The 15,644-nt window shown below is 38.9% G+C and overlaps 1 protein-coding gene and 1 pseudogene across 4 annotated transcripts in view; one reads left to right on the top strand and one right to left on the bottom strand.

Moving 5' to 3' along the window:
• Positions 1–7,530, top strand: part of BUB1 (BUB1 mitotic checkpoint serine/threonine kinase) — a 40,536-nt gene extending 33,006 nt beyond the window's left edge. For 2 of the 4 annotated variants that reach the window (NM_001278616.2, NM_004336.5), the window contains 6 exons: positions 2,824–2,939; positions 3,255–3,416; positions 3,594–3,751; positions 3,853–4,024; positions 5,210–5,316; positions 6,899–7,530. In NM_001278616.2, the coding sequence (NP_001265545.1) occupies positions 2,824–2,939; positions 3,255–3,416; positions 3,594–3,751; positions 3,853–4,024; positions 5,210–5,316; positions 6,899–7,094 (911 nt within the window). In that variant the 3' untranslated portion in view covers positions 7,095–7,530. Of the gene's footprint in view, positions 1–2,823; positions 2,940–3,213; positions 3,417–3,593; positions 3,752–3,852; positions 4,025–5,209; positions 5,317–6,898 lie in introns of those variants that run through there. The other 2 variants (NM_001278617.2, XM_047445616.1) reach the window with 2 other exon arrangements.
• RPL22P12 (ribosomal protein L22 pseudogene 12) lies at positions 10,443–11,132 on the bottom strand (annotated as a pseudogene).

Below are 15,644 nucleotides of genomic sequence, written 5' to 3'. Positions count from 1 at the left end.
ATAATTGGATTGTCACTATATTTGTTTTCTACTCCTTGCCCTTGTTCTTTCTTTGTCTGCTATTCTCTTTCTTCCTTCTCTGATTTTGAGTTCTTTCATAATTCCATTTTGTCTCCTCTCAGTGTATTAATTATACTTCTTTTAAAATTTTTTTAAGTGGTTAACCTAGTGTTTGCAATATACATCACAACTAATCTTTTTTGCTTGTGTAAGAAAATTTTTATTCTTCACATTTGAAGGATAATTTTACTGGATACAGAATTCTAGATTGGTGGATTCCAAATTTCTAAGTACTTTAGATATTTCACTCCACTCTCTTCTTGCTTGCATGGTTTCTGAGAAGTCCTGTGTAATTCTTATCTTTGCTCCTCTATAGGTAAGATGGTTTTGTCTTGCTTCTTTGAATATTTTCTCTGTGTCTTTTTCTGCAGTTTGAATATGATATGCCTAGATGTTGATTTTTCAGTATTTATCCTGCTTGGTGCTCTCTAAGCTTCCTGGATCTGTGGTTTGGTGTCTATCATTAATTTTGGAAAATTCTCTGCTATTATTACTTCAATTTTTTTTTTTTTTTTTTTTGAGACGGGGTTTTGCTCTTTTTTGCCCAGGCTACAGTGCAGTGGCACAATCTTGGTGCACTGCAACCTCCGCCTCCAGGGTTTAAGCAATTCTACTGCCTCAGCTTCCCGAGTAGCTGGGACTACAGATGCCCACCACCATACCCGGCTAATTTTTTGTATTTTTTGTAGAGATGGGGTTTCATCATGTTGGCCTTGAACTCCTGACCTCAAGTGATCCGCCCATCATGGCCTCCCAAAGTGCTGGGATTACAGGTGTGAGCCGCTGCACCCGGCCTCAGATATTTTTGTCTGTTCCTTTCTCCCTTCTTCCTTCTGGTATTCCCATTCTACATCTGTTATACATTTTGTAGTTGTCCCACATTCCTTAAATACTCTATTCTATCTATTTCTTTCTATTTTTTTTTTTTTTTTTTTTTTTGCATTTCAGTTTTGGAAGTTTTTATTGGCCTATCTTCAAGCTCACTGATTCTTTTCCCTGCCATGTATAGTCTATTGGTGAGTCAATCAAAGGCATTCTTTATTTCTGTTACAGTGGGTTTTTATTTCTAGCACCTTTTTTTGCTTCTCAGTTTCTCTCTGCCTGTATTACCCATTTCTTCTTGCACACTGTCTACCTTTTTCATTAGAACCCTTAGCATGTCAATTAGAATTAAAAAAAAAATTTCTAGTGTGGGCCTGGCATGGTAGCTCATTCCTATAATCCCACCACTTTGGGAGGCTGAGGTAGGATGATCACTTGAGCCCAGGAGTTTGAGGCTGTAGTGAGCTATGTTCATGCTACTGCACTCTAGCCTGGGTGACAGAGTGAGAACCTATCTCTAAAAACACAAACAACAAAATCCTAGTCTGATAATTCTAAAATCTCTGCCATATGTGTGTCTGTTTCTGATGCTTACTCTGGCTCTTCAGGCTGTGATTTTTGTCTTTTACTATGCCTTGTGAGTTTTTGTTAAGAGCCAGACCTAATATATGAGCTAAAAGGAAATGGGATTAAATAGACCTTTAGTGTGAGCTTTCATGCTTAATCTGCCTATGGGTTAGGCTGTGTTTACTGTTTGCTGTCACTACATAAGAGGCTATAATTGCCCTATGTGTCCTTATTTTTTTGTTTCCCCTGTTATCTTTGGGTTTCCCTACGGACTTTTTAAATAAGGTCTCAGATGTGCAGTTCTTTACATTATAACTCCCCCAGTACTGGTTCCAGCAGTGGTTTCTGTTCCTGGGCTTCTAGTTTGGCAAGCTGTGATTCTCTGCGTCCACTTGTCTGTCTCTAATTTTGGAGGAAGCAGATTGTCCTTTGACCTCAGTTCTCTAATGGATCTCAGAAGCGTCGTTGATTTTCAGCCATTTGGCTTACTGTGAGGGTGGAGTGATGACTCCAAGCTCCTCATATGCTGGACCAGGAACCAGAAATCTACTACTTTACATCTGATTTTGAACATGTGAATTCTTGTTTTTAATTTAATTTAAAAATCTACTAGTACAGTCTAGGTGTGTTAGCTCACTCCTGTAATCCCAACACTTTGGGAGGCCAAGGCAGGAGGATCACTTGAAGCCAGGAATTTGAGACAAGCCTGGGCAACATGGTAAGACCCCATCTCTACAAAAAATTTAAGAATTAGCTGGGCATGGTGGTGCACGCCTGTGGTCCTGGCTTCTCAGGAGCCTGAGGTGGGAGGATCACTTGGGCCCAGGAGGTCAAAGCTGGAGTGAGCTATTACCTTGCCACAGCAACCCAGACTGGGCAACAGCAAGACCCTGTCTCTAAAGAACAAACAAAAAACTACTACAACTTCACCTCTGTGGTCTTCCCCCCAAAATCCAATAACTCCAAAGTAACCACAAGAAATGTATCAAACAAACCCAATTTGAGGGCCATTCTACAACATACCTGACTAGTACTCTTTGGAACTGTCAAGGTCATCAAAAACAAGGAACATCTGAGAAACTGTCACAGTCCAGAAGTGGCTAAGTGGACATGATGACTAAACATAAAGTATCCTAGAACACAGGCAAAAACTAGTGAAAGTGAGTAAGATGTAGAGCTTAGTTAATAGGAGCATACTACTTTGGTTGATTGATTATTTGTGACAAATATACCATGGTTATGTAAGAGTTAACAACTGCAGACAGTGGATGCGAAGTATACAGAAAACTCTATGTCTTTGTAACTTCTTTGTAAATTGAAAACTATTTAAAATAAAAGGCGTACATAAATTAAAATTTTCAATTATCTTCTAAGGTTCTAAGCTGGTCTATGTCCATCACCTTCTTGGAGAAGGAGCCTTTGCCCAGGTGTACGAAGCTACCCAGGGAGATCTGAATGATGCTAAAAATAAACAGAAATTTGTTTTAAAGGTAAATGACCTGAGTTGTCTTTTGTATGATATAGAAATGAATTTTAGAACTTGAGTTTGCCAAGAAATTTTTTTTCTTTAAGATAGTGGTGTTTTTATTTATATCTACAGTTGGCAATTAAAAAACAAAAACTACAAAAGATTTAGAATTTTTTTCCCACTAAAATTGTCTTGGAGCAAGCCCCACATTGCAGCAACAGTTCATAGCTTGTCATCACTATCAACACCACATCTTTTATTGGGATAGAGGTTGCTTTATTGCTATCATTTTTCAGAATACGAGATTGGATATGAATTTCACATACCTGATTTGCAGGTCCAAAAGCCTGCCAACCCCTGGGAATTCTACATTGGGACCCAGTTGATGGAAAGACTAAAGCCATCTATGCAGCACATGTTTATGAAGTTCTATTCTGCCCACTTATTCCAGAATGGCAGTGTATTAGTAGGAGAGCTCTACAGCTATGGAACATTATTAGTAAGTATTCATTTTTATGATGAGCACATGAATTTAAAATGGATTTTTGGCTTGTACCTTGCACGTACTTTTGTGGTTGGGGCTTTTGTGGAGTGGTGGGCAGGGGCAAAGCTCTCAATTTGAAATTTTATTAATCTTGTGCAACTAACTCAGGATTCCACTTTCCATTGTTCCTAGAATGCCATTAACCTCTATAAAAATACCCCTGAAAAAGTGATGCCTCAAGGTCTTGTCATCTCTTTTGCTATGAGAATGCTTTACATGATTGAGCAAGTGCATGACTGTGAAATCATTCATGGAGACATTAAACCAGACAATTTCATACTTGGAAACGGGCAAGTGTTATGCTTTTAACAGGGTTCTTCTCTTCCTATTTCCATAGCAGCCTTTCATCATTTGTGCTCATGCAGCCTGGCTTTGTTTGTGTTTAATATAGATTTTTGGAACAGGATGATGAAGATGATTTATCTGCTGGCTTGGCACTGATTGACCTGGGTCAGAGTATAGATATGAAACTTTTTCCAAAAGGAACTATATTCACAGCAAAGTGTGAAACATCTGGTTTTCAGTGTGTTGAGATGCTCAGCAACAAACCATGGAACTACCAGGTATAAAACTAAAGTGAGGGACTTGGAAATATTTTTCTGTGTTGCGCTTATCAGATTTTCAAAATGAATTTGGGGATCTAGGTAGTTTGAGGTGGTCTTTTGAGGAGCAGTTGAAGGAGAGATGAGCCTAAGGCCAACATGGCAGGGATAGAATTCTATTCCTGAAGAATACTCTGCTTTCTTATTAGTCCATTATAGATCCTGTTATCAGGAAAGGGGGGCAGATATATTCTGTGAGTTTGATCATAGGGAAGAGTATTTAATGATTAGTGAACCCTTCAGAAAGGAAGTCATGCAGCAAAGAGACAGCTTGGTTTATTGAGATCAAGGTAGGCCAGCCCAATTTCCTAAATCAGGGATAACAGGGAGACCTGCATGCCCACTCCAGGCAGAGTTGAGCACATGTTGGATATACCTGGGATGCTCTCAGGCAGGATGGTGGGTTTGACTGTAATAGATGGTACAGCCAGATTCCTAACTGGCCAGATCAAGAAATGGATCATTATTATTCTAATGGAAGACTGCTGAATTTTCAACCAACTAGAATATTAGGTGACCAGGGAGGAGAATGCTAATTGGGATAAATGAAATATTTTGAACCTGGGTTTAACAAAACCAACTGCCAAGTTCCCTGGTGAGAGCTATGTCTTTCCAGGAGCCCATGGTAAAAGGGGCAAAGATTTGGTGGGGGTGGGGAGGGGTCTTGTTTCTGGTATGTTGTCACTGCTAGTGAGGCCTTAGGAGATGGTCATCTTCTATCCTGTGGATGTGGATGGGGCTGGAGTGTTCTTTTCAATTATGAACATATCACACAACAAGAGGCCATGGGGGCGAGTTAGAGAACTACGACCAGAGTCCCAGGGGAGTGAGCTGGGAGGACTTCCAAGCTGTCTATGTGGAAGAGGGCTTAGAGTGTTGTGTTTGTCCTCTGTGTGACAGAATGAAGGACTTGAGAGGGACATGGTAGCTCAGGAGGGCAGAGCTTTTCAAGAGACTGGAAGCCTGTGGCAAAGCCTAGATATTCAGTAAGACATGTTAGTGGGGCGATTGAACAAATGCCTTCCAAAATGTTTTAAAAGTAAAATCCTGTGAGTATTTAACTTGCTGCCTAAGTTAGACAGGCATCTTGATATAGTCATGTGTAAATTACTATTTAAGTCATATATACCTCTATCTTCTTCATAGATCGATTACTTTGGGGTTGCTGCAACAGTATATTGCATGCTCTTTGGCACTTACATGAAAGTGAAAAATGAAGGAGGAGAGTGTAAGCCTGAAGGTCTTTTTAGAAGGTGAGTATTAGCATTGGTGCTGTAGTGAAAAGAGAATAACTAAAGTAGAATGTTGGGTTCCATCTGGCAAAAAAAAAAAAAGGATCTCTGCCACCGCATGGAAATCCTATGCCTTGGGCAATATGGTGACAGGACAGTCCTGGGCACTGGGCACAGGGAGCAAGCTGCATAGCTTTACCACTTCTCTCTCCCCACTGGGGCAGCTGATGTCCTCACTGAAAGCTCCTGGCCAAATGGTTGACATCCTGTACACACGCAAATGTTTCCACCCCTAATCACCTAATGTCACTGGACCTCAGGTTCTCACTGGTTTTTTCTTTTTTCTTTTTTTTCTTTTTTTTTTTTTTGGTCTATGGAAATACTGATCCTATTTTTGTCAGATATTTGTAAGAAGCGAAGGAAATAGTGTATGTGAAAGTGCTTCATAAATTATAAAGTAATATGAATAGCTCTCTCTCACAGGACAGTCCTAGCCCTGTGTTTCTTGGGCTTCTCAAAGATTTTTTTTTATCTATAAATCACAGTGAAAATTCATGATTAGGCAAGAGCTCTTCCTGTCAACATGGATGGCTCTCCTAACACAATGTGTGAACAAACTGTTGGAATGTTTTGTTTAAGCTGAGTATTTGGTACCTGCATATTCATTATATCACTTATACTTTCTTTTTTGAGGCATAAAAACATGCAGAAAAGTACACTCATCTTAAGTGTACAGCCTAATGGACTTTTACATATGTTTATATCTTCTTGAGAAAACGTAAGAGTAGGAACCTCATCTGTGAACCTCATCTCCCCCAGCCCCCACAAAAAAAAAAGAAAAATGGCAATAATTTTATGAAATGTCATATACTGTACATAAGTAAGGTTAGGTTCAGGCCCTGGAGGAAAGCTTATAACAACTATTCTTTATTCTGCATAATGAGCCCTCATGTTTAGTAAATACTTTATTCCATCTTTGGCTCAAAATTGAAGGAACAGATAGTTTCATCTCTGACCACCAGTGTGAAGAAGAGCTGGAAGTTAACCCTCAGCAGGCCTGATGGCATTTCCTATGTGGAGCACAATTCCTTTGCATTCTACTTTCTCTCCAACACCTTATCTCCATGTTCTGGAGTTTCTGCAGTTAATTTTAACAATTATAGTAGTTGGAACTCTTAACTCTTGAGCTCTCTCCTGGGCAGTCCAACCTGTCTACTTGGTCCTGGTGCATATGCAGTTAGGCTTGACAGAAGCATTTGTCCAGATTATCCAATTCTAGCAGTATTGTATGTATGGCTAGCCAGAAGCAGATAGTTTGGGTTTTTATTTAAAGGGAGAGAGAGAAAATTTTTTGACTTGCAGTATTGCTAAAAGATTACTTATCTTATTTTTTGGAACAAGATGTATAAGACAGTTAATTGGGTCTTTAATCTCTCTCATGTATAATAGATATAGTGTTTCCATACTTGCTGCATTGTATTGTGTTTAGGTGAGAGTTGTTATACTAAACTGTCCAAGCCTGTGGAAGTCAGATGCAGGGGTGGGGTTATCCTGCATATTGAAGGCTACATTTTAGCCATTATTTATGCTTTGTCTTTTTCAGGCTTCCTCATTTGGATATGTGGAATGAATTTTTTCATGTTATGTTGAATATTCCAGATTGTCATCATCTTCCATCTTTGGATTTGTTAAGGCAAAAGCTGAAGAAAGTATTTCAACAACACTATACTAACAAGATTAGGGCCCTACGTAATAGGCTAATTGTACTGCTCTTAGAATGTAAGCGTTCACGAAAATAAAATTTGGATATAGACAGTCCTTAAAAATCACACTGTAAATATGAATCTGCTCACTTTAAACCTGTTTTTTTTTCATTTATTGTTTATGTAAATGTTTGTTAAAAATAAATCCCATGGAATATTTCCATGTAACTTAGTTGTTATAAATATTTCAACAAAATATACAACCCCATAAGGTCCCTATATAGCAGGCTGATTGGGCTGCTTCTGGGATGCAAGCATTTGTGAGAATAATTCAGACATGAGCATTCTCTAGAAATCACTTTTTAAACACTGACCTGTTTAAGCCAAAAAAGGGCCAAGACAGCTATTTTCCAAATTTGAAGTTTGGTGTCTGTGTAAACACACACACACACACACACACACACACACACACACTTCCCTAACATTTCCAAGGGACTTCAAGTTTTTATGAATAAAGCTTGCCTGTCCTTTATTGTACCTGTTCTTCATTGCTCTCTACGAAGTACAAATCCTAAGCCTGTTTATTTTTTAAAAGTACCAAAGGAAAATCTCTGATCTTAAAGTCTTTCTTATAAGCTATATAGATCATTAACTAACCATCTCTAAAATTATAGCAGACAACTTGGCATTTGTTGACTTTCAGAGCTGGAAGGGCCTTCTAGCCTGGACTGACCTTCCTTCCTCCATCCCTCCTTCCCTTGTTCCCTTAGCATTACAATGAAAACAAATCCCAGGTTATGCACAGTTCAGGACAGAGTGAATTGCTTCCTCCTACCATTATCAGCCATCGTGTTGCCCATTCCAGAGGCAATCACACCCCATTTTTTATGAATCTTTCCAAAAAGAATGTAATGCATATTTCTATATACTGTATTTTTGAAGCAACTAGCATAATTCTGCTTTTTTTACTTAATGTGTGGCAACAGAGAATATAACTACATATGGAATGACCTCATGCTTTTCAACAGTCGCGTATTAGTTGGTTATGTGATATATCTGTCATACAAATGCCTAGAAGTGAAATTGCTGGGTCAAAGGTGAGTGCGTTTAAAATTTTGTATTAATATCTGCAAATAGCCTCCCATGGGAGTTGTATCAGCCATCTATAAGTGTCTTTGTTCTCCACGCTCTCATTAGGACAGATCAGGCTCTCTTTGACTTTTGCCAATCTGATTGATGAAAAAATATGTCTTTTTTTAAAAAATTATACTTTAAGTTCTAGGGTACATGTGCACAACGTGCAGGTTTGTTACGTATGTATACATGTGCCACGTTGGTGTGCTGCACCTGTTAACTCGTCATTTACATTAGGTATATCTCCTAACGCTATTCCTCCCCCCTCCTCCCACCCCACGGCAGGCCCCAGTGTGTGGTATTTCCCACCCTGTGTCCAAGTGTTCTCATTGTTCAATTCCCACCTATGAGTGAGAACATGCGGTGTTTGGTTTTCTGTCCTTGCAATAGTTTGCTCAGAATGATGGTTTCCAGCTTCATCCATGTCCCTGCAAAGGACATGAACTCATCCCTTTTTATGGCTCCATAGTATTCCATGGTGTATATGTGCCACATTTTCTTAATCCAGTCTACCATTGATGGACATTTGGCTTGGTTCCAAGTCTTTGCTATTGTGAATAATGCCACAATAAACATACGTGTGCATGTGTCTTTATAGCAGCATGATTTATAATCCTTTGGGTATATACCCAGTAATGGGATGGCTGGGTCAAATGTTATTTCTAGTTCTAGATCCTTGAGGAATCGCCACACTGTCTTCTGCAATGGTTGAACTAGTTTACAGTCCCACCAACAGTGTAAAAGTGTTCCTATTTCTTCACATCTTCTCCAGCACCTGTTGGTTCCTGACTTTTTAATGATCACCATTCTAACTGGTGTGAGATGGTATCTCACTGTGGTTTTGATTTGCATTTCTCTGATGGCCAGTGATGATGAGCATTTTTTCATGTGTCTGTTGGCTGCATAAATGTCTTCTTTTGAGAAGCGTCTGTTCATATCCTTTGCCCACTTTTTGATGGGGTGGTTTGATTTTTTTCTAGTAAATTTGTTTAAGTTCTTTGTAGATTCTAGATATTATCCCTTTGTCAGATGAGTAGATTGCAAAATTTTTCTCCCATTCTGTAGGTTGCCTGTTTACTCTGATGGTAGTTTCCTTTGCTGTGCAGAAGCTCTTTAGTTTAATTAGATCCCATTTGTCAATTTTGGCTTTTGTTGCCATTGCTTTTGGCGTTTTAGACATGAAACCTTGCCCATGCCTGTGTCCTGAATGGTATTGCCTAGGTTTTCTAGGGTTTTTATGGTTTTAGGTCTAACATTTAAATCTGTAATCCATCTTGAATTAATTTTTGTATAAGGTGTAAGGAAGGGATCAAGTTTCAGCTTTCTACATATGGCTAGCCAGTTTTCCCAGCACCATTTATTAAATAGGGAATCCTTTCCCCATTGCTTGTTTTTGTCTTTATTGTCTTAATTTGCATTTCTGTCATGAATTAGGCCAAATATACTTTGTAAGAGCTATGTGTGTTTTCCTTGCCTGTGAACTCTACCCTTTGTCCATTTTTCATTTGGATTGTTCTTTTTCTTGCCCCCGACACAGACAGTGATGCCCCGGATAGCACCCCAACCCACTCCCCACCACGGGCAGTGCAGCCCCAGATAGTGCACCTACCCCACAGCCTTTCTACCACTCTGGCCGTGCTGCAGTCTCCGTCGTCGTCACCACCAACCGCAGCGAGGCGAGCCACGGTGCCACACCCAGCTAATTTTTGTATTTTTAGTGGAGACAGAGTTTCACTATGTTGGCCAGGCTGGTCTCAAACTCCTGACTTTGTGATCCACCCGCCTCAGCCTCCCAAAGTGCTGGGATTACAGGCATGAGCCACCACGCCCAGCCGAGAGATTTTTAAAAGAATCTTTGCTAAATATTCATAAAAGCTCTTTCTGGATGGTAACATTTAAGGTGAGTTTAAATTCATATTATTGTTTGAATTTCTATAATGTATGCATCATTTCTACAGAAATCTAGCGATGGCATTTTGCTACAAAGTGAAAAAACCTTGTTCAATGGGAAGGATGGGTGAAAATCAAAAGGTATTAGAAAAGGAATAAATGTAATTAGGGCTGCCCAGCAACAGAACACAGCAGTCTGCTTTACAAAGGTTGATCCACTGGCTTTGGAAGTATCCCGGCAGAAGAGGATGAAGGGCTGTCTCTGCAGAGATTTCACCCTGTGCCTCCAGCCTTGAGTCCATACATCTGAAGCCATGACTGTGCTGCAGTTGGCTACTGTCCAGCCACATTTGGGAGGTACTGGTCTCAAAATGTTTAAAAGGGAAAACAGAATGAAGGGCACTTCTCTCCCCACTGGGGCAGCCCACACCTCCACACCCTCAAGTGCCTGCCCAATGGCTGTCAGTTCCGTCAAGTCACCTTCTCCTACTCTAGTATTACCACAAGAATTGACATTTTCAAGCTGAAAAAAAAAAAAGAAGTCATGTTACAAATAAGTGAGTGGAGGCCCAAAGGAAGCCCTTTGACTATGATTTCCAATTTTCTCTTCAATCAATACTGCAGAGATACAAGGATAAACCACCATTTTGGTTCCCAAGTTTTATTCAAGAACGCATACAAAATATTCCAGACAAACGAAATTTAATCCTCGTCTTCCTCCTCTTCTTCGTCCTGGTTAATTTGGAAGGAACGTAATTTGTAACTCTCTTTGCTGTTAGCAACTATGCACAAACCAATCATGAAGATTATTCTTCTTCAAATATTTTTTGGTGAGATATTTCAAATACCTTTTGGAAAAATGCACCTTGGATGTCACGGTGATCTTGCTCTTGCTCCTTTTGACGGTCACCACCCCTTCGCCAAGGTTCCCAGCTTTTCCGTTCACTTTGATCCTTTCTTGCAAAAACTGCTCAAAATTGGCAGCATCCACGATTCCATCTTCTATGGGGTGGGTGCAACCAAGAGTGAACCTCAGAACCTGCTTTTTTTTTTGCCCACCTTCTCCACAAGCTTTCTCACGGGCACCATGGCAGCAGCGGAGGCAGAAAGCCAGATATCTCTTTAACGTACTGATTTTCTTTTCTTTGGATGTATATCCAGTGATGGGATTGCTGGATCATATGGTAGTTTAATTTTTAGTTTTTTGAGGAACCTCCATACTGTTTTCCACAGTCGCTGTACTAATTTACATATCCACCAACAGTGTAAAAGAATTCCCTTTAATCTGCAGCCTCTCCAGTATTTGTTATTTTTTTGTGTTTTTGGTAATAGCTATCTTAACTGGGGTGAAATGAAGTCTCATTGCAGTTTAGATTTGCATTTCCCTGATGGTTAGTGATATTAAGCATTTTTTCTTATACTTGTTGGCCATTTGTAGATCTTTTGAGAAATGTCTACTTCGATCATTTGCCCATTTGAAAACATTGGGTTATTTGTTGTTGTGTTTTATTTGTTGTTATTTGAGTTCTTTGTTTATTCTGGATATTAATCCCTTGTCAAATGAGTAGTTTGTAAACAGTTTCTCCCATTCTGCAAGTTGACTCTTTACTCTGTTGATTGTTTCCTTTGCTGTGCAGAGGTTTTTTAGTTTGATATAATCCCATTTGTCTATTTTTGTTTTGTTGCCTGTGTTTTTGTGGTCTCATCTGTAAAATCTTTGCCCAGCTCAATGACCTAAGCATTTTCCTTATGTTTTCTTCTAGTAGTTTTGTAGTTTTGCATTTAAGTTTGTAATCCATTTTGAGTTTATTTTTGTATATGGTGAGAGATAGGGGTCTAGTTTTATTCTTCTGCATATGGATATCCAGTTTTCTCAGTACCATTTATTTATTGTTTTTTTATTTATTTTGAGATGGAGTTTCGCTCTTGTTGCCCAGGCTGGAGTGCAATGGCGCGATCTCAGCTCACCGCAACCTCTGCCTCCCAGGTTCAAGTGATTCTCCTGCCTCAGCCTCCCGAGTAGCTGGGATTACAGGCATGTGCCACCATGCTAATTTTTGTATTTTTAGTAGAGACAGGGTTTCTCCCTGTTGGTCAGGCTGGTCTCGAACTCCCAACCTCAGGTGATCTGCCCACCTCAGCCTCTGAAAGTGCTGGGATTACAGGTGTGAGTCACTGCGCCCAGCCTATTCATTGTATTTCTGTGGTATCACTTGTAATGTTGTCTCCTTTTTCACTTCTGATTTTATTTATTTGGGTTTTCTGTCTCTTTTTGTTTGTTGATAGTTTCCTTTGCTGGGTAGAAGCTTTTTAACTTGATGTGATCACATTTGTCCATTTTTGCTCTGGTTGTCTGTGCTTATGGCATATTACTCAAGAAATTTTTGAGTAATGTCATGTCCAATGCCCTGGAGAGTTTGCCCAGTGTTTTCTTGTAGCAGTTTCATAGTTTAAGGTCTTAAATTTAAGTCTTTAATCTATTTTGGTTTAATTTTTGTTTAAAGTGAGAGATAGGAATCAAGTTTCATTCTTTTGCATATAGATATCCAACTTTTCCAGCACCATTTATTGAAGAAACTGTTTTCTCCCCAATGCCTGTTCTTGGCACTTCTGTCGAAAATGAGTTCACTGTAGGCATGTAGATTTGTTTCTGGGTTTTCTGTTCTGTTCCATTGGTCTATGTACATGGTTTTATCCAGTACTATGCTGTTTTGGTTACTATAGCTCTGTACAGGTAATGTAATTCCTCCAGTTTTGTTCTTTTTGCTTAGGATAGCTTTGGTAATTCTGGGTCTTTTGTGATTTCATATGAATTTTATGATTGTTTTTTCTATTTATGTGAAGAATGTCTTTGGTATTTTGATAGGGATTGCATTGAACCTGTAGATTGCTTTGGGTAGTATGGACATTTTAACAATATTAATTCTTCTAATCCATAAATGTGGAATATCTTTCCATTTTTTGTGTGTCCTCTTCAATTTCTTGCATGAGTTTTCATTGTAGAGATCACTTCTTTGGTTAATTCCTAGGCATTTAATTTTATGTGTGGCTATTGTGAATGGGATTACTTTTTAAATTTCTTTTTCAAATTATTTACTGCTGCCATATAGAAATGCTACTGATTTTTGTTTTTTGATCTCGTATCCTACAAATTTACTGGATTTGTTTGTCAGTTCTATTAGATTTTTGGTGGAGTCTTAAGGTTTTTCCAAATATGAGATCATATCACCTGCAAACAAGGATAATTTGACGTCTTCCTTTCCAATTTTGATGTCCTTTATCTTTTTGTCTTGATTGCTCTAGCTAAGACTTCCAATACTATGTTAAATAACAGTGGTAAAACTGGGCATCCTTGTCATCTTCCAGATTTAAGATAAAAGGCTTTTAGTTTTTCCTTATACAGTACAATACTAGCTGTGAGTCTGTCATATATGGCTTTTATTACCTTGAGGTATGTTTCTTCTATACCCAGTTTTTTTTTTGTTATAAAATGTAATTTTATTTTATGTTACTCTGTTACTCTGCTGTTATATGGGGCATAACATTTTCTTTTCTTTTCTTTTTTATTTTGAGATGGAGTCTCACTCTGTCGCCAGGCTGGAGTGCAGTGGCATGATCTCGGCTCACTGCAGTCTCCGCCTTCTGAGTTCAAGCCTCAGCCTCCCAAGTAGCTCCGGGACTACAGGCGCAGGCCACCATGCCCAGCTAATTTCTGTATTTTTAGTAGAGACAGGTTTTCACCATGTTGGCCAGGATGGTCTCAATCTCTTGACCTCATGATCCGCCTGCCTCGGCCTCCCAAAGTGCTGTGATTACAGGCGTGAGCCACTGCGCCCGGCCAAGAAGACACAACAGTCTTTAATGTGTATTTGAGTAACAACAAAGCATCAAAATATAACTGCAAGTGGAAGTAGATGAATCAATTATAACATGTGGAGGCTTCAACACCCCTCTCAGAAATGAACAGATTCAGCAGGCATAAAATCATAAGGATATAGTTAAACTTAACAGAACCATCAATTACATGAATCTAATTGACATCTAGAGACTACTTCATCCAAGAGCAGGTTACATATTCTCCAGCTCACATGAAATATTCCCCAAGGTAGACCACATTCTGGGCCATAAAACATACTTCCACAAGTATAAAAGAATAGAAAAAGTAGAAATCATACAAAGCATGTAGCATTTTCATTAAAGATATTAGTAAAATTGATAAACCTTTAGTCAGGCTAATCAAGAAAAAAGAATAAAGACACAAATTACTAATATTAGAATAAAAGAAGAGTGATCAATATTGACCCCAGGGATGTTTAAATGAAATTTAAAGAGTAATAAAGGAATATTTTAAACAACTCTATGCCTATAAATTGGATAACCTAGGTAAAATGGACTAATTTATTGAAAGAATCATGCAAGGATGATCTGAGAAGGTCTACATCTGTTTTAAAAATTGAATCCCTAATTAATAACCTTCCAGAACAGAAAGTACCAGGTGCAGTTGGTGTCACTGTTAAATTCTATCAAATATTTAAGAAAAAATTGTACCAATTCTCCATAGTCTCGTCCAGAAAATAGAAGCAGGAAACACTTCCTAACTCATTCTATGAGGCCAACATTACCGTAATACCAAAAACAGATAAAGGCATTACATGAAAAGATAACAACAAACTAATATCTTTCATGAATATAGAAGTAAAAATCCTCAACAAAATGGTAGTAACTCAAGCCTAACAAAGTTAAAAGAAGAAATATACACCATGACCAAGTGGGACTTATTCCAGATATGCAAGCCTGTGTTAACATTTGGAAATCAGTTAATCTAACCAATTATGTCAACAGAATAACAATAAAAGTCATGATTATATGAATAGTTGCAGAAAAGATACTTGACAAAATTCAGTACCCATTTATGATAGCTGTCGGCAAATCAGGATTGGGGGAGAACATGGTCAACTTGGTAAAAAGCATCTATAAAAACCCTAAAGATGGTCGGGCTCGGTGCCCCACGCCTGTAATCCCAGCATTTCAGGAGGCCGAGGCCGGCAGATCACTTGAGGTCAGGAGCTCAAGACCAGCCTGGCCAACGTGGCAAAACCCCATCTCTACTAAAACTACAAAAAATTAGCTAGGAGTAGTGGTGGGCACCTGTAATCCCAACTACTTGGGAGGCTGAGGCTGGAGAGTCACTTGAACCCAGGAGGCAGAGGTTGCAGTGAGCTGAGATCACGCCACTGCACTCCAGCCTGGGCGACAGAGAAAACTCTGTCTCAAAAAACTAAAAAATAAAAAACTCTAAAGCTATCATCATACTTGATGAGAGACTAGACGCTTTCACCCTAAGATTAGAACAAAGGAAATGTATCTCCTCTCCCCACTACTATTCAGCATTGTATTGGAAGTTTTAGCTAGAAGAATAAGATAAGAAGAGGAAGTAAAGGTGTATTGATTAACAAAAACAAAACACTTGTCTCTTTACAGATGACATGATTGTCTATGTAGAAAATCCCAGAGTCTTGACAAAAGTACTTCTGGAACTGTTAAGTGATTACAGTAAGGATGCAGATTACAAGGTTATATACAAAAGTCAATTGCTTTCTATATACCACCAATGAACAATTG

This window comes from Homo sapiens, chromosome 2 (genome assembly GCF_000001405.40).
Source record: "Homo sapiens chromosome 2, GRCh38.p14 Primary Assembly".
NCBI lineage: Eukaryota > Metazoa > Chordata > Mammalia > Primates > Hominidae > Homo > Homo sapiens.
The sequence above is the reverse complement of the archived record's forward strand: the minus strand, read 5'-3'. Positions and strand labels throughout refer to the sequence as shown.